Source organism: Homo sapiens, chromosome 16 (assembly GCF_000001405.40).
Source record: "Homo sapiens chromosome 16, GRCh38.p14 Primary Assembly".
Lineage (NCBI taxonomy): Eukaryota > Metazoa > Chordata > Mammalia > Primates > Hominidae > Homo > Homo sapiens.
In genome coordinates, this window is record NC_000016.10 from 22510891 (window position 1) to 22538879 (window position 27989).

Genomic DNA, 27989 nt, shown 5'->3' on the forward strand with positions numbered 1-27989 from the left:
GATAGATTCTACCTTTGTCACCCAGGCGGGAGTGCAGTGGCATGATCTCGGCTCACTACAACCTCCGCATCCTGGGTTCAAGCAGTTCTCCTGTCTCAGCCTCCCGAGTAGCTGAGATTACAGGCATGTGCCACCAGGCATGGCTAATTTTTGTATTTTTAGTGGAGACAGGGTTTCACTCTATTAGGCTGGTCTGGAACTCCCGACCTCAGGTGATCCACGTGCCTTTGTCTCCCAAAGTGCTGGGATTACAGGCATGAGTGACGGTGCCCAGCCATTCGTGACATGTTTATACAAATATAACTTTAGCAAATATTTAGCATAACTATCAAAATTACAAATCATATTAAATTTGTATAAATGTATGCAATTTTTGGAACACGCATATCAACAACATACCCATAAATATAACTGAGATGAGATCTAATGTCACCTCACTTGACAGTGCCCTCCCATGCAGTATCGCCACATTTGACAATGCCTGCCCATTTAATCTACCAAATAAATCGAATCACTTAATACCTCTACAAGATGAGAGATACATTCTTTAGACTCCCCAAGGGATGCAGCTGAAAAAAATCCCAAAGTTAGTTTTAAGCCAAAAAGACTTGATTTAGGATTTTGACACTGGAGAAACCCATCAAAGATGTCAAGTTTGAAAACACTTGATCAAAACAGAATCACAGGTCACTATTAAAAGAGTATTAATTTAACCAGAGACTTCCAAAGCAATACAGAAACTTACATGGATATAAAAACCCTAACCCTTTTAAAGGTCAGATTTGCTAAGTGATCAAAAGGGGTACTTGAATTGAATCGACACAGGAAGAGTGTGTACAGGGTTATGAGTGTAGGCAGGTGGTTACTTTGGTCATATCTCCATTTGCCACCTGATTACACATGAGAATGGCATCTTTACTCACCAGAAAGCCAGTATTATAGGAGGTGTAGGAGGCATTCTTGGACTTGAGACAAGAACATTGTTGTGTAGAAATTTCATTGACTGTGTTAAAATTATTCTCCATGGGCTGGAGAACACATAACATGGCCTTTAGAATGAGACGGGCATTGATTGGATGCAAGGTCTCCACACTTACTAGCTGTGTGACATTGGACAGAGTGCTTCATCATTCCGAGACTCAGTTTTTAAAGGAAAAACAACTAACTACCTTGCAAGCTTGCTAGCAGGTTTAAGTGTAATAATGTGTGGGAATGACTGCACCGTGACTAACATGCAGTGACAGCTTAATTAATGTTAACCCTTATCATTATCATATAAGAATGTGAGTTACATAAGAGAGGAGTCCTGTCAGTTCGTTCTCTGCTGTGTCCCCAAGACCATGAATCATGGCTGGCATGTAGTAGGCATTTAATAATATATGTTCAACAAGTATTTGGCAGTCTTGGAGGGCAGAAAAGGAGGTGGGGAAGATTTTTAAATAACATTTTTTAAAAAGTCACATTGTCCTACAATACCGATTTTTCTTGCATATTTAGGAAATTGAGGGTTTTTTTCTAAAACATGCGGACATATGGGAAATAGGATGCAACATTTGCACTAATGTTTCAGACACAGTTAGAGGTTTCCAAGAGATTTTGCGCTGGGGAGGCTGCTTGCTACAAGCTCCCAAAGCTCTGGGAGGACATAGTATTCATTCCTCCCTCAGCAGAAGCGGTGAGGCAAGAAGCTCTGGGGAGCACCCAGCGTTGGACTTTTAGCATAGTGTGTCAGGTCTTCATAGTTTGGGCCCAGGGCACAGAGAAGTCACAGCTCTCCGGCATCCTGTGACCTTTACCCTCTTTGCCAAGGGAAAATGTGGCCCACCAAAGCAAGAAACTTGAGGGCATGGGTCACCCCAGCCCTGGCATCTGCCCAGAGCCCGAGAAGGAAGGAACAATGATCCTCCAGCTACCTCACGGGGCTGGCACAGGTGACCACTGCCCTGGCATCACCCAGCTGTGTCCGGCAGCCTGAACCCCATCTGTGGGGATGCGAGGAGGAAAATACAAAAGTCCTTAGGTGAACACTGAGAAGGCAGATGCAGCAGAAACCTCCAGGCCAGAACTACCCAGTCTTGGACCTATGGTGGAGATAGAGCATAGCTGGCGATCATGTGTACTTACACTCTAAGGTCACCTGGTTGCACTATGGCCTCATCTGTGGCTCTGAAAATGAAGATTTGGAAGGAGATCATCACAGCTAATGTTTAACAAGCCCCTCCTGTGTGCCAAATCATTCACCCCTCACCACAACCGAATGAGCTAAGGATTCTCATTATATATAGTTTATGGAGAGGGAAGTGCAGACATAAAGAGGTGAATTATCTTACCCAGATCACACAGCTGATAAGTGGTGGAGGCAGAATAGAATCTAAACAGTGTGGCTCCGGAGCCCACATGCATTGATTCGACAAGTGTTTATTGAGCACCTGCCGCGGACAAGGCCTTGTGTGATTAAATAGGGTTATAATTAGTAATATAAAAATGAGAAATCACTAATGCTTTTTAGACTTAACATTTTGTTTTTTTGTAGGTTTCAGGCACAGAACTGTATATCCAATAATAGTGAAATGGATCCCACTAATTATGACAGAAATGATGATACATTTAAATGACTTGGATGTTTTATAGGTATGATCTCGTGAAATCTTGAGAGAAACTGAATGACGAATGAAACTATTGTTCCTGTTTCACACAGAAGAAAACTGAGGTTAAAAGGGGTAAAGTAATTTTGCATGGCATGAAGTAGAAATTCAAAGTACAGGAATTTGAACTTGGTTCTGTCCTTTTCTGAAGCCCTTGACCACTATAGACTCAAACATCACCTTGTTTTTCCACTCATTCAACACTTTTTTTTTTAAATTATCTAATAGGTTGGCACTCATCATGAGCCCCTGTTCTCATTCTGCAAATGGTGAAGCTCTCTATTGTCCTGACCCCACAGTTCCTGTCCCATGACCAGGGCCAGCTCACCAAGGAGCTGCAGCAGCATGTAAAGTCAGTGACATGCCCATGCGAGTACCTGAGGAAGGTGAGTGAGTGCAGACAGATGGGGCCTGGTGCCCTTGAGCAGTTCCCGGGTCTCAGCTGCCACACATCTCATAGCCGGTGATGCTGGGGGAAGCTTACGCAGTCACAGTACTGGCTTCTTCCTCTTTTTCTTTCCATACAAGTGGCTTAGGGATGGGGTAGAGTAGTTGACTTATTTGGATGAAAACCACTATCTTCTGTCAGAAACTCAAAAGGAATCATTGCTGGCATGGTAACCTAAAGAAAAACAACCAGACAAGTGCCCAACGACACTTAAAAAGGTGATTTATTATCTTGCCAAGTTTAGGCTGGGCATGGTGACTCATGCCTCTAATCCCAGCATTTTGGGAGGCTGAGGCTGGTGGATCACCGGAGGCCAGGACTTTGAGACCAGCCTGACCAATATGGCAAAACCTCGTCCCTACTAAAAATACAAAAATTAGCCGGGCATGGTGGTGTGAGCCTGTAGTCCCAGCTACTCAGGAGGCTGAGACAGGAGAATTGCTTAGATTCAGGAGGTGGGGGTTTTAGTGGGCCGAGATCACGCCATTGCACTCCAGACTGTGCGACAGAGCGAGACTCTGTCAAAAAAAAAAAAAAAAAATTATCCTGCAAAATTTGAAAAGGAAATTCAAATCAACAGCTTCTAAACTACTTTTTAACATGACTCATAATAATACATTCTATAGTACATATGTATGTTCTATAACTTTGAATAAAAGAGTTAACCACATCACATTTATTTTATAACATGTAATACATATTTTTTATTCTCCTTCATTTGTTTTGAATGCTCTGTGCAGTCTACAAAAAGTCCAATAGTAATAATTAAATTAGTCATTAAGTTGAACATTATCTTGTCTTTTAAAATGATAATCTCAAAAATGATCTTTTATTTTTGAGATTTATATAGATACACACACACACACACACACACACACACACACACACACACACACACACACACACACACACACACATATTTTTTGAGACAGAGTTTCACTCTGTCCCCCAGGCTGGAGTGCAATGGCACAATCTTGGCTCACTGCAACCTCTGTCTCCCGGGTTCAAGCAATTCCTCTGCCTCAGCCTCTGAGTAGCTGGGACTACAGGTGTGTGCCACCATGCCCAGCTAATTTTTGTATTCTTAGTAGAGATGGGGTTTCACCATATTGGCCAGGCTCGTGTCAACTCCTGACCTCGTGATCTGCCCACCGCGGCCTCCCAAAGTGCTGGGACTATAGGTGTGAGCCGCTGCACCCGGTCCAAGTAAAATTATTTTAACAATATACTATGAAGAGAAAAACACTGGCTATGAAAGAATATGCATAGTTTTACCCTGTTTAAAAATAAAGATTGAAAGAATACATATGCAAATAAGTTTACTTTTATTTTTGGTAACACTTTACTGCATTGTCTGAATATTGACAATCAGTATGCATTATGAAGCTACCTGGCTAACATTGTGTACTCACTGTGTGTGCCAGGCCCTGGGTTCAATGCTCTACATGCACTTATATTTCATTTAATTCTCTCTGCAACCTGAGATGGTATAGCCACCTCATTTTACAGAGTTGAAACTGAGGCTCAGAGACTGAAAGTTAAGCCTGAGGTTGCAGTCAATAAGAGGCAGAGCTGGAACTGAAACCTACCTGTGTCTGACCACCAGTTCGTGTTCTGACGGCAGGCTAGTCTGCATCACAGAGTGTGGAGTAGATGGTGCATGCCTGCTAGGATGGGCTAGGTATCACTGTAGGTAAGAAACAGCCCCAAACTATGGAAATGTACACCACTGAAGGCTCTTTTCCTGCCCATGCTGCACATCCTCCATGGCTCTCCTGTGCCCTGTGCCCCACATGCCCTCATCCTGCCACGAGAATAAAGGAGCAGCCTCCATATGGGAGCTGTCAGCTGCTCTAAGAGATGAAGGAGAGAGTGGCCCGTCTCAATGGCTCCCAACTCTTTTGCCTCGAGGTGACACGCTTCACTTCCACGCACATCTCCTGGGTCAAAGCAAATCCCATGGGTACATCCACTTTCAAGTGGCCCAGGAGAGAACCTGAAATACTCGGTGGACTCCATTAAGGCCGTCATATGGTGTCAGCCTGCATGGGAGACTGTGGAGGGGCAGAGGAGGAGAGTGGGGAACTGATGGGAAATGACAGGAGGACTAAGTCACCGCAGATTTGCTTTATCTTCAGCCAGGTGGAGTTTGTCCCAGAGCCGCACAAAATCATCACCAGCATGATTAAACGGAGTAGACTTCAGAAAAAGCAGTTTGGTCGGATGTAATCAGCAGTGAACTCAGAATCAATTGAGTGACATTGAGTCAGTAAATCTCTGACTGCCTCAGTTACCCCATATGATAGTTTTGAGGATGGGAACATTGAGAGAGTTGATTTGGAAGGATATCAAGAGTAAAAATTCCAACATTTTTAGTTCCTTTAAGTTAAATCCAGGCACTGTCTTTCCTGCAAGTCTCCTGTTCCTTTCAGATTGCACAGGTGAGAGTGCTCAGATTAGGGCTGGAGGTTGTAAACCATTGCTCCCACACTGACAGTGCCCCCGTGTCGTGCGTGTATTCTGCGCATTTTCCTGTGCTAAACACTCTCCCAAAACATCGTGGGGCCTGATTCTTCCTCTTTGTTCCAATGGCCCTGGGTGACTCAAGTGCCCATTCAATGACCAGGACACAGAGGTCTTAGAGAGATGCTCCTTGAGGCCCCAGGTGCGAGCCTGTACCCTGCCGGAGCATGAGGCAAGGGACAGGGCATCGTCTGTGGGGATAGTGGGGGTAGTGGGGGTAGTGGTCAGCCAGATTTGGTGACTCTACTTGCTCACCAGACGATCCTACACCTGCCACCTCCGATGGATCCACTGCCTCTGTGCCTGCCTGTACTGCTGATGCTCCAGTGGATAACTCAGCATCCCAGCCTAGGCCCAATGCCACTGAAGATGGACCTGCCCCCTGGGGACCCAGGAGTCCTACCACTCAGCTGTCCCCAGGAGTGCCCAGACCCTCATTCTTATCCAGGACCTAGGAGCCCTACCCCTGGCCTTCCCTCATCAGCCGTAAATGATGATTTACTGCTGTTACCATCATCACTGCCTTCAGTGACCAAGGGCCTTCCAAGGTGCCAGCTCTGGAACGAAGGATGCCCTTGGGAGGTGATGACACTCAGGTACACGGGTGCTCAACAGATTGCTTCCTCCTATCCTCAGACGGTCTTTGCATGCATGCAGCCATTGGCACTCCCATTGTGTGGAAGGAAACCAGCCCAGGGTCACACAGCTGGTCAGCAGCAACATAGCTGGTCTCAAATCTAAGGTGCCTGACCATGCCTCCATGAGGGACCGCCTCCAAGGGAGGTTGATCCTGGCTTTGGGGAGCCTTTCCTGGGCTGCACGAATAACCTCCATTGTTCGAGACCCCAAACTCTGCTCACATCTTCCTTTCCCTATCTCTGCTTGGGCTATGATCACGGTGACTCTAGCAGCCCTTCATGGACATTATAGTACTCTCTGCCATTCACTTTTGCTCTAATCTGACTTCAACCCCCACTTACTTGGTCTCTCCTTTTACAACCACCACAACCGAAATCTAGGGCTGCTTTTTTTTTTTTTTTTTTTTTTGAGACAGAGTCTCATTCCATTCTGTCACCCAGGCTGGAGTGCAATGGTACGATCTCGGCTCACTGCAACCTCCGCCTCCCGGGTCCAAGGGATTGTCCTGCCTCAGCCTCCTGAGTAGCTGGGATTACAGGCGTGTGCCACCATGCCTGGCTAATTTTTGTATTTTTAGTAGAGACGGGGTTTCACCATGTTGGTCAGGCTGGTCTCGAACTCCTAACCTCGTGATCCGCCTGCCTCAGCCTCCCAAAGTGCTGGGATTACAGGCGTGAGCCACCATGCCCAGCCAAATCTAGGGCAGGAACATGGCTGCAGCATATAAAAAGAATTGAATTCCATACTTTTGTTAACCCTGTTTTTTGTTTGTAGTTGTTGCTGTTTTTGAGACAGAGTCTCGCTCTGTCGCCTAGGCTGGAGTGCAGTGGTGCAATCTCGGCTCACTGCAGACTCTGCCTCCCGGGTTCAAACTATTCTCCTGCCTCAGCCTCCCAAGTAGGTGGGACTACAGGCGCCCACCACCACACCCGGCTAATTTTTGTATTTTATTAGAGACAGGGTTTCACCATATTGGCCAGGCTGGTCTGGAACTCCTGACCTTGTGATCCGCCCACCTCGGCCTCCCAAAGTGCTGGGATTACAGGCGTGAGCCACCACACCCAGCCCCTGTTTTGTTTTTGTTTTGCTTGCTTCTTAGGGTTGTTTTTCTATTTATGGTAAAGGCATTGGCTTTCCATTTGTAGCATCAATAGAATATTTCCTGTTTACAATAACCTTATGTCATAGTAAATGGTAAAGGGATTTAAAGCAGTGGTTTTCAGCTGCCAGAGGCCTGAGAGAGTTTGGGCATACTCTGTGTGATCGGGCAGAAGGCCTGTGGGAAGTTTAGCAGAGGACAGGGCCAGGAAAGGTGATGGACAGTGGGGGTCTGTCCTGGTCACCAGGCCCCTGGGTCCTGCCCACCTGCTTGGAGCTCCCCACCCATCACACATGATGCTGCCAAGCCCTCTGGGTATTGTGGGCAAATACCTTAGGAGAGAAGCTGATGAACTTTGTTTCTTGAAATGCACAGATTCCTTGGACGTCCCTGAGAGCTCAGTCATGAAAGTCAACTTGGTTTTCTCCCCCTCATTTGGGTTCAGAATTTAAAGTCCACACACACAGGCAGTAAGATGATATAGATAAGGACGTCATCACTCGGTTTCGGATGTTAAAATGTCTAGGTGGGTTAGCGGTGATTTGAGATCACACAACCTTGTGCCACAAAGAGGAATTCCCAGGCCAGAGGGAGACATTTTATTGCCATGTTATGATCTCATCATTGAGTTGAAAGGCAATCTTGTTTCATTTTGGATTCTTTCTTATGTTTATGTCTTATAAGGGCACTTTGAATTTCCAAGCAAATAATAATTTTGAATTAGCTTTTAATCATTGACTTCTAGCACAGTTATATGATCAGAAACATGCTGTGTGATTTGATTGCTCTCAAATATATTGAGATTTGCTGGAACAAAATAAGTCAGGTTAATTTTTGTAAATGTACCAGGCATGCTTAAAATGAATGTATCTACATTTGTTCCTGAGATACAGGTTGATGGACGGATGGCTACATGGATGTGATGGAGATGGTTTACTATCGGGACCTTCCGCACCCTGCTGATGTTTTGTTGCTTAGGATATGAATGGCTGAGCGGAGGCTGTAAAACCTGGCACTCTGCTTGGGTATGAGGTTCTTCCTGCCATCCTGCCATCATTTGTTTTTTATGTTTTGTCGCCATAAGTGACCTTGAGGAACCCTGGGAGCTCAGGAAGGAAGGAGCGCCCAGAAGCAGGGACAGGGAGCTGGTTGGGGAGGACCAGAAATCAGGTTTGTGAAGGTTCCAGAGAGGACCTGTCTTTGGGAGGAGTGTGGGAGACTGAGATGGGGGAGGGGTCATTGGAATGATGCGGGCGCTACTTGGCATTGTCCATTGTGAGGCACTGTCCATTGTGAGGCACCACCGGGGTCATCAGGGATTGGTGGAGAGGGAGTATAAAGCCCCAGGGTTGGTAAGGGAGGGCCCAGACCGAAGAAGGTTTGGTGGATAGCAGAACCTTTTTGTCTCCCTCTGATTGCTCCTAAGCCTCACGCTCCCTTGCCCCGCGTGTCCTGTTGCTTCCCTGATCTTCTCCGTGACCTGTAGCTAAACCTTCCACCAGCGCTTGAGAACTTAATTTGAACCGGATCCTTTCCCAGACCCCTTTCTTCTTCTCCTCCTCCTCCTCCACCTCCTCCAGGTGCCCAACAGCCCCCTTCTCCTCCTTTCCCTTCCCTTACTTCCCCCCTTCCCCTCCCCTTCCCCTCCCCCTCCCCTCCCCCTCCCCCTCCCCAACTCAGATCCGGCCCCGGTCCCCGTCCCCTTCCCTCCCCCCTGCCCTAAGCCACCTCCACCTCTGTCCTGGCCGCCTCAGGGCGCCCTGAAAGGACCAGGACATGCGGGTGCGGTGGATGCTCTTTTGGCTCCTCTTTGGGCTCCTACTGGAATTTATCAGCCATCAGTGCATCTCTGTGAGTAGACGCTGGACCCGTGGGGTTTCTTCCTTTTTACTGGGCTGTATCACGTGGCATGAAATTACACAGCTCAGGCCTGTAATCCCAGCACTTTAGGGGGCCGAGGTGGGCAGATCACTTGAGTCCAGGAGTTGAAGACTAGCCAGGGCATCATAGCGAAACCCCATCTCTACAAAAAATTCCAATAAAGATTAGTCGGGCCTGGTGGTGCGTACCTGTTATCCCAGTTACTGGAGAGGCTGAGGTGGGAGGATCGCTTGGGCCCAGGAGCTGGACGTTGCAGTGAGCCGAGATGGCCCCGCTGCACTCTTGTTTTTAACAAAGAAAATGGACCAAAACAAAGTGAAATGTCATTTGATTTGTGTCATCTGGTTTGATGACTTTTTTTTTTTTTTTTTTTTTTTTTAGACAGAGTCTCACTCTGTCGCCCAGGCTGGAGTGCAGTGGCAAGATCTCGGCTCACTGCAACCTCCGCTTCTGGGGTTCAAGCAATTGTCCTGCCTCAGCCTCCTGAGTAGCTCAGATTACAACGCCTGGCTAATTTTTGTATTTTTAGTAGACCACCACGCCTGGCTAATTTTTTTTTTTTTTTTTTTTTTTTTTTTTTTTTGAGACGGAGTCTCGCTCTGTCGCCCAGGCTGGAGTGCAGTGGCGGGACCTCGGCTCACTGCAAGCTCCGCCTCCCGGGTTCACGCCATTCTCCTGCCTCAGCCTCCCAAGTAGCTGGGACTATAGGCGCCCGCCACTACGCCCGGCTAATTTTTTGTATTTTTAGTAGAGACGGGGTTTCACCATGTTCGCCAGGATAGTCTCCATCTCTTGACCTCGTGATCTGCCTGCCTCAGCCTCCCAGTGCTGGGATTACAGGCGTGAGCCACCGCGCCTGGCCAAAATATATAACCTTAAGTGTAAGTTTACTAACTTTGGAAAGTACATACACCAGCATAAACCAACCCCCTTTCAAGATCTACATTATTTTATTTATTTATTTATTTATTTATTTATTTATTTTGAGACAGTTTCTCCCTTGTTGCCCAGGCTGGAGTGCAATGGGGCAATATCAGCTCACCGCAACCTCTGCTTCCCAGGTTCGAGCGATTCTCCTGCCTCAGCCTCCCGAGTGGCTGGGATTACAGACATGTGGCACCACTCCCAGCTAATTTTGTATTTTTAGTAGAGATAGGGTTTCTCCATGTTGGTCAGGCTGGTTTTGAACTCCCGACCTCAGGTGATCCGCCCGCCTCGGCCTCCCAAAGCGTTGGGATTACAGGCGTGAACCACCATGCCCAGCCAAGATCTACACTATTATGTCACCCCAGAAAGTGAACTCTCAGTCTTCCCAGCCAGTCTCTTTCTTATCATAGGTTAGCTTGCTTATTCTGGAATTTCGCGTATACAGATGCATGCCATGCCATAGGTACTCTTTTGTGTCTGCTTTGTTCTGCTCAACACCATGTTTCTGAAATCATTACCATTGTTGTATGGTTCTCTAACTTCATCATTTCCATTTCAGACTCAGCATATGCTGAGTTCAACCTGTTGAAGGGCTATCTCTGTTTAATTCACCATCTTGAAAGAAACATTTAAAATTGAGATGTTTTCAAGAATATATAGTTAAATCCTGAGGAATCGACGTAGAAATGTTATCACAAGCTGTCTGAACTTACTCAGGGGAAGTCTTCGTCTTCACTCACATAAGAGTCTAATGGAATTAATATCAACAATCTTAGAGAAATCCCACACTATTCATGCCATTTTCATGATCTCCACCTTGATAATTTTTTTTTTTTTTTTTTTTTTTTTTTTTTTTTTTTTTGAGACAGAGTCTCGCTCTGTCACCCAGGCTGAAGTGCAGTGGTGCGATCTCGGCTCACTGCAACCTCTGCCTCCCGGGTTCAAGTGATTCTTCTGCCTCAGCCTCCCAAGTAGCTGGAACTATAGGCACGTGCCACCATGCCCTGCTAATTTTTTGTATTTTTAGTAGAGACGGGTTTCACCGTGTTAGCTAGGATGGTCTCAATCTCCTGATCTCGTGGTCCACCCACCTCGGCTTCCCAAAGTGCTGGGATTGCAGGCGTGAGCCACCACGCCCAGCCCACCTTGTTAATTTTTAAGCACTAAAATTTGATACTTATTTGTGAATGAAGTAATCTCTTCATTGTATTTTTTTTTTTTTTTACTTATGCTGAGATTTAAATGACAAAGATTCATATAATCCAAGAGAGAAGTATTATTTAGAGGGATTCTTTTACCATGTGATATATAATAAATGCATCCAATGTTATACATCAATTTAAAAAACAAGTAAATAACTTTAAAGAAAAGATAACTACTGGCCAGGTGCAGTGGCTCACACCTGTATTCCCAGCACTTTGGGAGGCCAAGGCAGGTGGATCATGAGGTCAGGAGTTGGAGACCAGCCTGGCCAAGATGGTGAAACCCTGTTTCTACTAAAAATACAAAAATTAGCCGAGCGTGGTGGCAGGCGCCTGTAATCCCAGTTACTCAGTAGCTGAGGCAGGAGAATCGCTTGAACCCGGGAGGCGGAGGTTGCAGTGAGTTGAGATCATGCCACTGCAATCTAGCCTGGGTGACAGAGCAAAACTTTGTCTCAAAACAAAAAGAAAAGAAAAGATAAGATAATTACTTTATACTTAGCTTGTCTTACCCATGAGTGACGGGCTGCATGTGGCCCAGGACAGTTTTGAATGCAGTTCAACACAAATTTGTAAACTTTCTTAAAACATTAGGAGATTTTGGCCAGGTACAGTGGCTCATGCGTGTAATCCCAGCACTTTGGGAGGCTGAGGCGGGCAGATTACCTGAGGTCAGGAGTTCGAGACCACCCTGACCAACATGGCAAAACCCCATCTCCACAAAAAATACAAAAATTTGCTGAGTGCACTGTCAGGCACCTGTACTCCCAGCTACTCAGGAGGCTGAGGCAGGAGAATCACTTGAACCTGAGAGGCAGAGGTTGCAGTGAGCCGGGAGCACACCACTGCACTCCAGCCTGGGTGACAGAGTGAGACCCCATCTCAAAAACAACAAACAAAAACAAAAACAAAAAAATGGCTGGGCACGGTGGCTCACACCTGTAATCCCAGCACTTTGGGAGGCCGAGGTAGGCAGATCGCCTGTCAGGAGTTCAAGGCCAGACTGGCCAACGTGGTGAAACCTCATCTCTACTAAAAATACAAAAATGAGTCGGGCATGGTGGCAGAGACCTGTAATCTCAGCTACTCGGGAGGCTGAGGCAGGAGAATGGCTTGAGCCCAGGAGCTGGAGGTTGCAGTGAGCCGAGATTGCACCACTGCACTCCAGCCTGGGCGACTGAGTGGAGCGGAACTCTGTCTCAAAAAAAAAAAAGAGGTTTTTTTTAGATCATCAGCTATTGTTAGTGTTAGTGTATGTTATGTGTGGCTCAAGACAACTTTGCTTCTTTTAATATAGGCAGGGAAGTCAAAAGATTGGATATCCCTGCTTTATACCAAGAAAGACAACACCCCACATTTGCAATGCCTGAAAACACTACCAGCCATCTGAAAAACATGTGACTTCTAACTTCTGTTCTTTTTTGTAGCAGTGGAATCCCACGGTGATATCTGAGGGATGTGGTTACCTTTTGGAGGAGGTTGACGGTTTCTAAGGATGATTCTTTCTGAGTGAAATATTGTCAGTGTCATTGACCTTTTCATTATTTCAACTATTATTATTCCAGGTTATCAATACTCTGGCTGACCATCATCATCGTGGGACTGACTTTGGTGGAAGTCCTTGGTTACATGTCATTATTGCGTTTCCGACAAGTTATAAAGTTGTCATTACCCTCTGGATAGTTTACCTTTGGGTGAGTATACTAACTTTCTGTAGAGGTATACTTGTAATCACAAATAAGAATAAATTATATAAAACAATTCACATTTCTGGACTTCATTATGAATATGTGGTTTTACCCAAAAAATCAGGGAAATGATTTATTAGTATAAGAATTATGAAAACATCTGCCATTTGCATTATGAAAATTAAATAGGTCGGTGTTTGTTTAATAGAATGTCAACAGAGCTTTTGGTCAAAAATAAGTTTTTTTAACCTTTGTGCTATTTATCACAAATGGAGTATGAGGTTTCGTCACTTAAATAGGAAATTCTTTCTAAACTCTTCTGCTTTATAGTTCTATCGTATGGGTGGAAGGAAAGCTTCCAATCTCCTCTCTGAAGATTCACTGCAGAAATGAGCTGACAACAGACAGCTTAACAGGAAAAGAAAAACATAGAACAGGCATAAACATGGGAACCAGCTGAAAAATGAGACTGCTAGAAGGGCCGGATGGCTGATGCTTAAAGAGCACCCTCTTCTGAGGGGAGAGGGAGATAGATGGAGATGTAGGCCATTTAGAGGGGCAGCAAATGATTTTTAGGGGAAATGAAAGAGGCCAAGGAACAAACAATTGGCCTGAGACAAAGTTCCTGTGAGGTCATAGGGACGAGGTGACAAACTGCCGGAAGGTGAAGGGCAGAACTGCACTGCGTCTCATGATGCAGAGAAAGCCCCAGAGACTCTTAGAACTGCCCTCCAAGAGAATCAATGAAAAGTGTGTCTGGGCAGGGTAATTTTGAATGACATCATTCAAAGTGCATGTTCCGACTTGGAACTGGAGAGAGATCAGTATGTCAAAAGTCTGTACTTGGTAAGAATTTGGCTGCTAAGTTGTGCCATAATTTGTCTTTTGAGCCTTTTTTCCTTTGGGTAAGTTGAGCTCTACATTTTGTCTTGCCATTCATGACAGTAAAAATGTGGTTGTCTGGGGGCTGAACCTCCTTCTGAACAATGATCCAAGATAAAAGTACTAATACCACAATGCTTTTTTATATTCAAGGGAAGAGGAAGTATGTTTCAGTTTTACCACCTAGATAATTACACGTCATTTGGCACTGCCTTTCAAGATATGTAGAAAACAGAAAATATATGAGTTATGAAGATATCTAGGCACATTTAACATTCTCTATGCCACTTAGTCCTGAACAGAGAATTTTCGGTATAAATTGGAGGAAGCTTTTTTCTTTTTTTTTTTTCTTTTCTCACCCCGAAGACGAGTCTCCTTCTGTTGCCCAGGCTGGAGTATAATGGTGTGACCTCGGCTCACTGCAACCTCCACCTCCTGGCTTCAAGTGATTCCCCTGCCTCAGCCTCTCAAGTAGCTGGGATTACAGGTGCCCACCACCATGCCCAGCTAATTTTTGTATTTTTAGTAGAGTCGGGGTTTTACCATGTTGGCCAGGCTAGTCTCAAAACCCGACCTCAAATGATCCACCCACCTCAGCCTCCCAAAGTGCTGGGATTACAAGCGTGAGCCACCACGTGAGCCAGGGGAAGTTTTTAAATTTACCACTTTTTAACAATTCCACTTAGGAAAGTTCAGTTGAGCTGTTGGACTTGGACAACTTCGCACCTCTCATCTTTGTCCTTGTCATCTAGTCATCTATACCATTACCTCCTTAGCAGGGACATCATGGGTGCCATGAAGCATTCATGCGTGATGGCATTTCTTGGCTTCTCATTTCTTCATGTGTTTGACATTTCCCCTAGCTCCAAACTGGGCCAGCTACCTTTCCTATGAAATCTAGCAGTAGCTGTGGGATTGACGTGGTTGCTCTTTTCATCTTTTTAGATTACCCATTGCTTCTCTCGAAATCCTAGTACATGATTTTTTTTTTATCCTATGTGCAGAAATCAGGAAAAAACAAATTCTACAAAGAATTTGAAAGATATTATTTCAGGCCAGGTGTGGTGGCTCATGCCTGTAATCCCAGCACTTTGGGAGGCTGAAGCAGATGGATCATTTGAGGTCAGGAGTTCAAGACCAGATGGGCCAACATGGTGACACCCCATCTCTACTAAAAAGACAAAAATTAGCCAGGCATGGTAGCAGGCACCTGTAATCCCAGCTACTTGGGAGGCTGAGGCACAAGAATCGCTTGAATCTGGGAGGTGGAGGTTGCCGTGAGCCAAGGTAGCGCCACTGCACTTCAGCACGGTTGAGAGTGACACTCTGTCTCAAGAAAAAAGTCATTTCAATGACCACCTCAGGAGATTCATAGGTATCTGACCCACATCTGAGATGGGATTTGCATTGCATTTTAGCTATGATGAGAAGAAATATTTAATATCTTAGAAGATTAAAAGCATACTGTGATAATATGGAAATCTTGGTGGGAATTCAGTCATTAGTGAGAATGTTTTGCGTTAAGTTCAAACCAGCCTCAATGAAGCTGATGTGAGGGAAGGGAAAGTGAACTCTGAGTAGAGCAGGGACAGAAGGAAGATGCTCCAGTGCAGATCAGGAAGGAGCAGGGGATGAAATGTTACAAATTCTAGAACTCAGAGAGCTGAAGGTAATTACTTCCTTTTCAAGTTGTGAAACATGTTAACCTGTGGTAAAATACTTATAAGATGATAATTACCATCTAACCGTGTTGAAGTGTACAGTTCAGTTGTGTGAAGTATATTCATGTCATTTTTTTTTTTTTTTTTTTTTTTGAGACGAAGTCTCACTCTGTCACCAGGCTGGAGTGCAGTGGTGGGATCTTGGCTCACTGCAACCTCTGCCTCCTGGGTTCAAGCAGTTCTCCTGCCTCAGCCTCCCGAGTAGCTGGGACTACAGGCGTGCATCACCATGCTCAGCTAATTTTTGTATTTTTAGTAGAGACGGGGTTTCACCATGTTGCCCAGGATGGTCTCCATCTCTTGACCTTGTGATTCACCCGCCTCGGCCTCCCAAAGTGCTGGGATTACAGGCGTGAGCTACCGCATCTGGCCTATTTTTTTTTTTTTTTTTTTTTTTTTTTTTGAGACAGAGTTTCAATTTTGTTGCCCAGGTTGGAGTGCAATGGCACAATCTCAGCTCACCACAAGCTTTTCCTGCTGGGTTCAAGTGATTCTCCTGCCTCAGCCTCCCGACTAGCTGGGATTACAGGCATGCACCACCATGCCTGGCTAATTTTGTATTTTTAGCAGAGACAGCGTTTCTCCATGTTGGTGAGGCTGGTCTCAAACTCCCGACCTCAGGTGATCCGCCTGCCTCGGCCTCCCAAAGTGCTGGGATTACAGGAGTGAGCCACCGTGCCAGCCTCATGTCATTCTTGTGTGTGTGTGTGTGTATGTGACAGAGTCTCATTCTGTCGCTCAGGCTGGAGTGCAGTGGTGTGATCTCGGCTCACTGCAACCTCCGCCTCCCAGCTTCAAACGGTTCTCTGCCTCAGCCTCCCGAGTAGCTTGGATTACAGGCGCCCGCTGCCATGCCCGGCTAATTTTTGTATTTTTAGTAGAGACGGGGTTTCACCATCTTGGCCAGGCTGGTCTTGAACTCCTGACCCCGTGATCCACCTGCCTCGGCCTCCCGAAGTACTGGGATTATACGCATGAGCCACCGTGCCCAGCCGTCATTCTTATATTATTATTTCCTAGGTGTCTCTCCTGAAGACTATCTTCTGGTCTCGAAATGGACATGATGGATCCACGGATGTACAGCAGAGAGCCTGGAGGTCCAACCGCCGTAGACAGGAAGGTATGGCTCTGTTGGAATCCGCATAGTGTGGAAATGAGTTTGCCCTGGAAAGGGAAAGAACAGCTTCTTGCCCTCAGGTTTCTCACCTTCTCCTCTCCTCACTCTCACCAAGGGCTGAGGTCCATTTGTATGCACACAAAGAAAAGAGTTTCTTCCTTTCGAGGAAATAAAATTGGCCTGAAAGACGTCATTACTCTACGGAGACATGTGGAAACAAAAGTTAGAGCTAAAATCCGTAAGAGGAAGGTGACAACGAAAATCAACCATCATGACAAAATCAATGGAAAGAGGAAGACCGCCAGAAAACAGTAAGATGTGCCTTGACACAAATACTGTTGTATGAACCATGTGCCAATCAAAGTAGACAACTGTAAAGTCCTTGAGAATATTTTCTACAATATTTGTGGCAAATTCAGTGGGTTCAAAATTGAGTTTGTCCTTTCTGCTTCATTAGTTTAAGCTGTATAATTCCTTTCCCTTCCTACATTCTTGTTTTCATTTTTTCGGAGGAAGAGGAGTTGCTAGTACTGGCATTGGTTTTCCTTTCTCTTTTTTTTTTTTTTTTTTTTTTTTTTCCTGAGATGGAGCTTTGCTGTTGTTGCCCAGGCTGTAGTGCAATGGCACAATCTCAGCTCACTGCCTTTTGGGTTCAAGCAATTCTCCTGCCTCAGCCTCCCAAGTAGCTGGGATTACAGGTGCCCACCACCACGCCCAGCTAATTTTTGTATTTTTACTAGAGATGGGGTTTCACCATGTTGTCCAGGCTGGTCTCGAACTTCTGACCTCAGGTAATCCACCTGCCTCAGCCTCCCAAAGTGCTGGGATTAGAGGCGTGAGCCACCACAGCCAGCCTTTTTTTTTTTTTTTTTTTTTTTAATTTTGCGATAGAGTCTCGCTCTGTCGCCCAGGCTGGAGTGCTATGGTGCAATCTTGGCTCACTGCAACCTCTGCCTCCCAGTTTGAAGCAATTCTGCCTCAGCTTCCCGAGTAGCTTGGATTACAGGTGTGTGCCACCACATTTGACCAATTTTTTTTTTTTTTTTTTTTTTTTTTTTTGAGACAGAGTCTCACTCTGTCACCCAGGCTAGAGTGCAGTGGCATGATCTTGGCTCACTGCAGCCTCCACCTCCCAGGTTCAAGCGATTCTTATCCCTCAGCCTCTTGAGTAGCTGGGACTACAGGCATATGCCACCATGCCCGGATAATTTTTGTATTTTTAGTAGAGGCGGGGTTTCACCATATTGGCCAAGCTGGTCTAGAACTCCTGACATGATCCGCACACCTCGGCCTCCCAATGTGCTGGGATTACAGGCGTGAGCCACCGTGCCCGGCCCAATTTTTGTATTTTTAGTAGAGACAGGGGTTCACCATGTTGGCCAGGCTAGTCTTGAACTCCTGACCTCAGGTGATCTGCCTACCTCAGCCTCCCAGTGTGAGCCACCGCACCCAGCCTGGATTGTTGAATTCAATGCTTGGGTCACCTCCAGATTCATTTTCACAGTCTTTCATGTTTTGGTCATATGACATTGTATTTTGCTGCCATATGACTGATCTTTTTTTGTTAAATGTGAGATACTTGTTAAAAAATGTTTAGCAATGAATTGAGGCCTAGTAGCATGTTATCTTGCTGCAGAAGAGATGGGAGTCTACTTCTGGGGGATGGTCAGGGGTCCTCCATACAGGCTGCAATTGAAGTCGTCGGTGCAGGCTCAGTCCCTACAAAGGCCAGGGTATTTCCTGTCCACCTTTATTCTGATGCATGACTCTTCTGGGTCTCAACCAGAGCCAGTGGACTTCAGTATGGGTCGCTTTCATTGGCAGACCCTCAATCCACTTGTTTTCCATCTAATCCCACGCATGTGTGCAAAAGCTGCTGTGCTTCTTTGCATCTCAGTAGTTCCTTCTGGAATTCAGCAATGAAACGCAGGGAAATGGGTTCCAAATGCGAGGCTGACTTTCGTCCTGGGTTTCCTTCTTCTCCATCTTCACCTCATGTCTGTTTACTGCCATGTTAGCAATTTGATGTATTCAATCATGGGTTTTATATTCTGTTTGGTGTCCCCCATTGTTCTCATCGGAGATCAGAAGCTTCAGATGCACTTATGTCAACTCAAGAGTAGAATGCTTCCTTAGCTTCCCTCCAGAGTCAGGTTTTGTGTTTCTAGTTCCCAAGTGCACAGCAGGAGTAGTGATGTCCTCACTGGCTTCTCATTTGCATTAAGCTGTGAGCTTCTTTAGCGTGGGGACAGGACCCTGCTCCCATTGCATTCTCAGCACCACACCACACACTCCTTGTTTGAGGCCACTCCAGACAGCATGTGCTGAAGGATGCCTTGTGGTCAGAAACAAGTTCATTAACTTTCTCTTTGAAGTGTTTTCGCCCCTGTTTCCTAGCGTTCTGGGAATTTTACACATCCTTCCTATAAAGCCAAGTATCAGGTGAGATCCTTAGGATCAGGACCATGAATCAAGTGGTATGAGGGCAACACAGCAAACTTACCCTTTTGAGGCCGTTTCCTTTTTCTGCCCTCAATCTCTGTGAACTGAACCTTGTTAAAGTCAGTCAACACCAGGGTGGATGGTTTGCCGTTGTCACCTATTTTCAGGACATAACACCCTGACTTAGGAGCCATTCCGATCATTTCTAATTCAATAGATGCGCCCAGCATTCAGATTGCCTTTTCTCTCAACCAGGATCTTTAAAGTCGATGACAAGAGTTCCAGTCCTGAATCATGGCAAAGTGCAGTAGTGAACTGCGGGGTTATTCTGGAAGGATCTCTCTATGGCTGATGGTCTCAGTTCCGGCATCAGCCTCTGACTGAGAATCAGGTCTCACACAGGAGGAGTCAGATGAGGAGCAATCCTCTGCTTCCGATGGAGTTAGTTGTGATGAATTGGTGAGGTCTGGTTTTTCACACTGAACTAAAATGAGCTTTCGCTGTGTCAAGCACAAGACTGACCCCAGAGACACACATAGTGCACCTCATAGAAGCTTTTAATAGTCTTTATATTTACTAAAGAATAGGACTAACTATGGAACTATGAAGATGAGCTGGAAATGACAGGTGACTTGCCAGCAGGCCAGAGTGTGACTTTTTTTTGTCCCTCAATGGGAGGTGTCAATTCTCCCTTCGGTTGTGAGAATCAGTTGGTTCATTTGTGGGAAGGTTGCAGGGGGGATCTTTGAATCACAGCCTTCAGATGCCAGAAGGGCAGAGGGAATCCCACACGGGCTGGTGGATCATGTGTGTGCATTTCTCTCCCTTCTAATCTGAGGAAACTAAGCGTGAAAGAATGTGAGCATGCAGAAAAGGAGAGGCAGGTATCAGAGGCAGAGGAAAATGGGAAATTGGATATGAAAGAAATACACACCTACAAGTGAGTTCAGAAACTGTACCCCACCCTCTTGGGAAACGCCCATTGGAGTGTTGTTTTTAACCTTTGTACAGTATTTAGACCCAGTAAATGCAGAAATAGAAACAAACGGTCAGAAGACATATCGTGAGAGAGAGCGAGAGAGAGTTCACAAAACAGAAAACAAAGTACCTTAATATTTACCAGTGACCAAAAGATGTGAAGTAGCAAAACGTCTCCTGACCCCATTGCCAGCTAGACTGTGTGGAAACTCGGTTCATACCAGCCATTCTAGGGGTGGGGTGAGTTGTTGTCATCCTTAGGAAAGTGTGTTGTTGTAGGATCAACCACATCCTTCAAAAGGACTATGCCTGTTTATAAGCCCAGCTGTTTCTGCCCTGTGAAACACGGTAAGGATATTAATACAAAGAGAATACAGCTTTATGATAAAAGATGCTCAATGAAGGATGAATTAGGGATGTACTGAGAATGGGGAAGGAAACTATCATCTCAGAAGTCAGCAGGCAGTAAGCAAGAGGAGGAATCAATACAGCAACAGTTTGGATCAGACTGTACAGTTTTTTTGTTTTTGTTTTTGTTTTTCTGAGATGGAGTCTCGCTGTGTCACCCAGGCTGGAGTGCAATGACGTGATCTTGGCTCACTGCAACCTCCGCCTCCCAGGTTCAAGTGATTCCCCTGCCTCAGCCTCCCGAGTAGCTGGGATTACAGGTGCCTGCCACCACGCCTGGCTAATTTTTTGTATTTTTAGTAGAGAAGGGGTTTCACCATATTAGCCACAATGGTCTCAATCTCCTGACCTCGTGATCCATCCGCCCCGCCCTCCCAGAGTGCTGGGATTACAGGCGTCAGCCACCGTGACCGGCTCAGACTGTACTCTTCTAGCCATCTGAAATACGTTTTCTAGGTAGAGATAGATTGTGTAAGGGTACAGTTGTGAGGATAACAGAAACATGGCAGATTATTTAAAATCATCCTGAAAGTGGTGCTTTATCTGATGAAAGTGATTGTAATCCATAGGAAAATGTTTCAACGTGCGCAAGAGTTGCGGCGGCGAGCAGAGGACTACCACAAATGCAAAGTAAGGAGCTTCCTCCCTGCAGTTGCAGGATAGTTCAGTGCTGATGCAGATGATGCCACGGCCCTTAGACTCTCTCAACATTCAATTTCTCATGTGTTGGCTTTTTCAGATCCCCCCTTCTGCAAGAAAGGCTCTTTGCAACTGGGTAAGTTTGCTTGTTTTCCTTGCTTTTGGACATAGTCTGCCAGGTCAGGACATGGATACATTTTTCTCCCTACAGCTCTGTGCTCAAGCCCTGCAGAGGGAGATGGCAGAGAGAAAGGCTGCCTACAAGCATCACAGTCCCATCCCTGTTGGTAACCGTGTTGCGCAAAAACACCTTCATCCCCACCCAGTGGGGCCCCTGATCTAATATTCTAAGTGTCAGAGGTTCCGTATTTGTAATAGCAGATGGGCCCTGACTGTAAACTAGTGAAGAGTGAATGTAACTTATTACCCACAGGGACAATTCCAAATGAAGGCCTTAAATGATGCTCAGCTAAGCTGGTTCTTGTGTGGCCTCTGTACCTTCAAAAGCTGCCGAGTCCTATGATTACACGTGATGGGACTTGTACACTTGAAGTGAAACACAGTTTTAAAACTTGCTTTGTTTAGAATTCCCACCTCATTTTTCCATGGACAAAAGTATTCTTTATGTCCTAGTGCACTTACAATTTGGTATTACCTGGGAGTGAAAAGAAATATTACAGCCATGCCTAAGTGACTTCTTGAGGTGAGATTGTTCTGTCAGAAAACCCTCTCCCAGTTCCCCTGCAGCTCTTCAGGAATCCACATCTCTCCAGAGCTCTTTGTTCTCATGGGTGGCACCTCCAGAGTGAAGAAGATCCTTTGTCAAGAAGGGAAACAGAAGGGAAATGAGAGGGTCCTGCAGGCAGAGCTGGAATCAACTTCCACTCTGCCTCTTGCAAGCTGTGTGACCCTGGGCACAATTTCTCCTTCCTCTGGAAACCTCTGTTTTCTTAGATTTGGAGCAGGGTGGTCACACTGACCTTGCAGAGTTCTGAGAATCAGAGACAGAACATAAAAGGCCTGGAAAACATTCTCCAAAAAGAAGCTGCAACATGTGTGGACAGTGGGCTTTTCATGCCTCTCTTACTGTCTCTTACTGTCTGTTGACCTGGTGCAAGAAACATGCTCTGGTGATGGCTGTGAGGGAGGAATGAGGATAGACATAGACACTCCTGTGTCTCAAACATGCTTCTTTATTACTCTGTTATGACTCTGTCTTCCCTGGGGCAGGACCCCAGCCTGCCTACATTTGCAGACAGACACAGTGGCATGTGGAGACAACAGTGTGTCCCAATGACTTTCCTTTACCCTCCAGCTGTCGGCAGTACTCAGTGGAAGGGTGATATTATGACACTGATACTGCTATTTTGAAACCTGGAGGATGGAAAGGTGCAAAAATCTATCACCAGCAACAGAAGGTGCAGACTGTGTTGGTGGCGGTAATTTTGTCCATCAAATGAATATGTGTGAAAACATTCCCTCCTTTGGCCCTACAGGTCAGAATGGCGGCAGCGGAGCATCGTCATTCTTCAGGATTGCCCTACTGGCCCTACCTCACAGCTGAAACTTTAAAAAACAGGATGGGCCACCAGCCACCTCCTCCAACTCAACAACATTCTATAACTGATAACTCCCTGAGCCTCAAGACACCTCCCGAGTGTCTGCTCACTCCCCTTCCACCCTCAGCGGATGATAATCTCAAGACACCTCCCGAGTGTGTGCTCACTCCCCTTCCACCCTCAGCGGATGATAATCTCAAGACACCTCCCGAGTGTGTGCTCACTCCCCTTCCACCCTCAGCGGATGATAATCTCAAGACACCTCCTGAGTGTCTGCTCACTCCCCTTCCACCCTCAGCGGATGATAATCTCAAGACACCTCCCGAGTGTCTGCTCACTCCCCTTCCACCCTCAGCTCTACCCTCAGCTCCACCCTCAGCGGATGATAATCTCAAGACACGTGCCGAGTGTCTGCTCCATCCCCTTCCACCCTCAGCGGATGATAATCTCAAGACACCTTCCGAGCGTCAGCTCACTCCCCTTCCACCCTCAGCTCCACCCTCAGCAGATGATAATATCAAGACACCTGCCGAGCGTCTGCGGGGGCCGCTTCCACCCTCAGCGGATGATAATCTCAAGACACCTTCCGAGCGTCAGCTCACTCCCCTTCCACCCTCAGCTCCACCCTCAGCAGATGATAATATCAAGACACCTGCTGAGCGTCTGCGGGGGCCGCTTCCACCCTCAGCGGATGATAATCTCAAGACACCTTCCGAGCGTCAGCTCACTCCCCTTCCACCCTCAGCTCCACCCTCAGCAGATGATAATATCAAGACACCTGCCGAGCGTCTGCGGGGGCCGCTTCCACCCTCAGCGGATGATAATCTCAAGACACCTTCCGAGCGTCAGCTCACTGCCCTTCCACCCTCAGCAGATGATAATATCAAGACACCTGCCGAGCGTCTGCGGGGGCCGCTTCCACCCTCAGCGGATGATAATCTCAAGACACCTTCCGAGCGTCAGCTCACTCCCCTTCCACCCTCAGCTCCACCCTCAGCAGATGATAATATCAAGACACCTGCCTTCCACCCTCAGCGGATGATCTCAAGACACCTTCCGAGCGTCAGCTCACTCCCCTTCCACCCTCAGCTCCACCCTCAGCAGATGATAATATCAAGATACCTGCTGAGCGTCTGCGGATTCCGCTTCCACCATCAGCCGATGATAATCTCAAGACACCTTCCGAGCGTCAGCTCACTCCCCTTCCACCCTCAGCTCCACCCTCAGCAGATGATAATATCAAGACACCTGCCGAGCGTCTGCGGGGGCCGCTTCCACCCTGAGCGGATGATAATCTCAAGACACCTTCCGAGCGTCAGCTCACTCCCCTTCCACCCTCAGCTCCACCCTCAGCAGATGATAATATCAAGACACCTGCCGAGCGTCTGCGGGGGCCGCTTCCACCCTCAGCAGATGATAATCTCAAGACACCTTCCGAGCGTCAGCTCACTCCCCTTCCACCCTCAGCTCCACCCTCAGCAGATGATAATATCAAGACACCTGCCGAGCGTCTGCGGGGGCCGCTTCCACCCTCAGCGGATGATAATCTCAAGACACCTTCCGAGCGTCAGCTCACTCCCCTTCCACCCTCAGCTCCACCCTCAGCAGATGATAATATCAAGACACCTGCCGAGCGTCTGCGGGGGCCGCTTCCACCCTCAGCAGATGATAATCTCAAGACACCTTCCGAGCGTCAGCTCACTCCCCTTCCACCCTCAGCTCCACCCTCAGCAGATGATAATATCAAGACACCTGCCGAGCGTCTGCGGGGGCCGCTTCCACCCTCAGCGGATGATAATCTCAAGACACCTTCCGAGCGTCAGCTCACTCCCTTTCCACCCTCAGCTCCACCCTCAGCAGATGATAATATCAAGACACCTGCCGAGCGTCTGCGGGGAGCGTCTGCGGGGGCCGCTTCCACCCTCAGCGGATGATAATCTCAAGACACCTTCCGAGCGTCAGCTCACTCCCCTTCCACCCTCAGCTCCACCCTCAGCAGATGATAATATCAAGACACCTGCCGAGCGTCTGCGGGGGCCGCTTCCACCCTCAGCGGATGATAATCTCAAGACACCTTCCGAGCGTCAGCTCACTCCCCTTCCACCCTCAGCTCCACCCTCAGCAGATGATAATATCAAGACACCTGCCGAGCGTCTGCGGGGGCCGCTTCCACCCTCAGCGGATGATAATCTCAAGACACCTTCCGAGCGTCAGCTCACTCCCCTTCCACCCTCAGCTCCACCCTCAGCAGATGATAATATCAAGACACCTGCCGAGCGTCTGCGGGGGCCGCTTCCACCCTCAGCCGATGATAATCTCAAGACACCTCCCTTAGCTACTCAGGAGGCTGAGGCAGAAAAACCACGCAAACCCAAGAGGCAGAGGGCGGCTGAGATGGAACCACCTCCCGAACCCAAGAGGCGGAGGGTCGGTGACGTGGAACCGTCACGCAAACCCAAGAGGCGGAGGGCCGCTGACGTGGAACCATCATCACCCGAACCCAAGAGGCGGAGGGTCGGTGATGTGGAACCGTCACGCAAACCCAAGAGGCGGAGGGCCGCTGACGTGGAACCATCATCACCCGAACCCAAGAGGCGGAGGGTCGGTGACGTGGAACCGTCACGCAAACCCAAGAGGCGGAGGGCCGCTGACGTGGAACCATCATTACCCGAACCCAAGAGGCGGAGGTTGAGCTGAGAAGAGGCCAGTGCACTCAAGCCTGAGCAATAAGAATAAAACCGAGTAGAACAAAATAAAAAATTCAAAAAACAAAACAAAACCCACACTCCAAAAACTAACAAAGAATAAATAAATAATATAAAAATAAAATAAATACTGCAGTCCTTATGTTATTGCTTTGTTTCGATATCTGGTATGATTGCCTGAGGGACCTGAGGTTTTTAATCATAGGGGTTTTTTTTTAATCTTTAGAAGTGGTTGGTTATGTAAAATATTATTATTATTTTTTTTGAGACTGGATTTTGCTGTGTCACCCAGGCTGGAGTGCAGTGGCTCGATCACAGCTCACTGCAGCCTCAACCTCCTGGGCTTCAAGCAATCCTCCTGCCCCAGCCTCCCAAGTAGCTGGGATCACAGATGATGTGTGCCACCACGCCTGGCCAATGTTAAAAAATCCTTTAACTTTTTTGTAGAGATGCACTCCTGGACTCAAGCGATCCTCCTACTTGTCCCGACCACCAGCCTCTTTCTGATAAACATTTACACTGTTTATTATCTGATGCCATTTCTATCTTCTTCCTTGTCGTCCAGACATCAAAGAATTAGGTTTCTTCAGGGTTTTCTTTTTCAAGTGCTCAGTGTTAAAGATCACTCACATTAGGGCCACACACCACGGCTCATGCCTGTAATCCCAGCACTTTGGGAGCCCGAGGCGGGCAAAGCACTTGAGGTGGGGAGTTTGAGACCAGCCCAGCCAACTTGGGGAAACCCCACCTCTACTGAAAAAAATACAAAAATTAGCTGCGCGTCATGGTGCATGCCTGTAGTCCCAGCCACTTGGGAGGCTGAGGCACGAGAATCGCTTGAACCCAGGAGGCAGAGGTTGTAGTGAGCCGAGATCACATCAGCACACTCTAGCCTGGGTGACAGAGCGAGACTGACTCAAAAAATAAATAAAATAAATATCACTTACATTAGATATACCCAAGGGGTGGTCTATAGAGACTTGGAAGCAGTGGTTATTGCAACAGGGGCACGGAAGTCATCTGGCTATGCCAGGATGCCCAGGGGATACTCGGGGTGGGTGGCATGGTGGTGCTGGGGACTCACCGCACAGGACGCTCTGATTGACGCACTGCCAGGAGTAGCGCTCTGTCTTGGGGCTGCAGCCGGCCTCCTCAGCTCGAGTGTAACATCAGTCGTGGCCATGGCAGCACCTGCGGATGTCACATGGGCAGGACAGCAGGTGGGTGAAGCTCTCTCCTGGCCCTCCTCTCTTGCCAGGACTATGGGTGACTGAAGACCCCCAGGGAGGCACAGCATCCTCTTATCTAAGATTTTTTTTTTTTTAAGAGACAGGGTCTTTCTCTGTCGCCCAGGCTGGACTGCAGAGGCACAATCATAGCTCACGGCAGCCTTGAACTCCTGGGCTCAAGCGATCCTCCCACTTCAGTGTCCCAAGTAGCTGAGACTACAGGCACACGCCAGCATGCCCGGCTGGTTTTTTAATTTGTATTTCCTTTGAGACAGCGTATCTCTCTGTTGCTCAGGCTGGAGTGCAATGGCTCAATCAGCTCACTTTAGCCTTGAACTCCCGGGCTCAAGTGATACTGCCACCTCAACCTCCCAAGTCTGCTACTACAGGAACACAAACTCCTTTTTTAAATTTTTTATGGATATGGGGTCTCACTATGTTGCCTAGGCTGGTCTCGAGCTCCCAGGCTCAGCAGTCCTACCTCAGCCTCCCCAAATGCTGGGATTACAGGTGGGAGCTACTGTACGCCTGGCCTTATCTAAGCTGTTTCCCTGAAAATCTCCGTCTTGGGTAATGATTCCATTGGCCCCACCATGCCCTGTCCTGCCTTCCTGGCTGTGCCCAAGCTTGGTCCCTGCCTCCCTGCCTCACTCTCTGGGTCTCGAGCTCCTGTGACACATGACTCCTCTCTCTTCCTGGAGTGATCCAAGCCCTGCCACTTCCTGACTTTGCCCACACTGTACCCTCTGCCTGGGGCAACTTCATGTCTGCCCATTGTCCCTTAGGCCTCAGCCCAGGCACAAGCCCCTGCCTCCGGAGGTCATCCAGGCCTCACCAGGCTACACCCTCTCGTAAAATTGGATTCCCTCCCTTCAGGGCAGGTTTATAATGAAATCCTCCTCAGAGGCCAGGTGCGGTGACACCCATCTGTAATCCCAGCACTTTGGGAGGCTGAGGTGGGAGGATCACTTGAGGCCAGGGGGTCGAGACCAGCCTGGGCAACATAAGAGAGACTCTTGTCTCTCTTGTCTCTATAACAAATTTAAAAATTAGCTCACCAGGCCAGGCTCAGTGGCTCATGCCTGTAATCCCAACACTTTGAGAGGCCGAGGCAGGTGGATCACGAGGTCAGGAGTTCGAGAGCAGCCTGACCAACACGGCGAAACCCTGTCTCTACTAAACATACAAAATTAGCCAGGCATGGTGGCACGCACCTGTAATCCCAGCTACTCGGGAGGCTGAGGTAGGAGAATTGCT

The 27989-nt window shown here is 47.3% G+C and overlaps 1 protein-coding gene and 1 long non-coding RNA gene across 6 annotated transcripts in view; one reads left to right on the forward strand and one right to left on the reverse strand.

Moving 5' to 3' along the window:
• Positions 1-25645, forward strand: part of NPIPB5 (nuclear pore complex interacting protein family member B5) — a 32937-nt gene extending 7292 nt beyond the window's left edge. For 2 of the 4 annotated variants that reach the window (NM_001395851.1, NM_001135865.3), the window contains exons 2-9: positions 2632-2720; positions 2874-3031; positions 12930-13058; positions 16676-16775; positions 16888-17083; positions 21170-21230; positions 21340-21375; positions 22736-25645. In NM_001395851.1, the coding sequence (NP_001382780.1) occupies positions 2912-3031; positions 12930-13058; positions 16676-16775; positions 16888-17083; positions 21170-21230; positions 21340-21375; positions 22736-25495 (3402 nt within the window). In that variant the 5' untranslated portion in view covers positions 2632-2720; positions 2874-2911 and the 3' untranslated portion in view covers positions 25496-25645. Of the gene's footprint in view, positions 3032-12929; positions 13059-16675; positions 16776-16887; positions 17084-21169; positions 21231-21339; positions 21376-22735 lie in introns of all 4 variants that reach the window. The other 2 variants (NM_001395850.1, NM_001395849.1) reach the window with 2 other exon arrangements.
• Positions 2531-27989, reverse strand: LOC105371131 (uncharacterized). 2 transcript variants are annotated; one of them, XR_007065022.1, is made up of 3 exons: positions 27947-27989; positions 26588-26694; positions 2531-3611 (listed from the first exon to the last, which is right to left on the reverse strand). It is a non-coding gene; the product is annotated as an uncharacterized LOC105371131 (long non-coding RNA). The 2 variants fall into 2 exon arrangements; XR_007065021.1 differs by lacking the exon at positions 27947-27989 and having other exon boundaries at positions 26588-26876.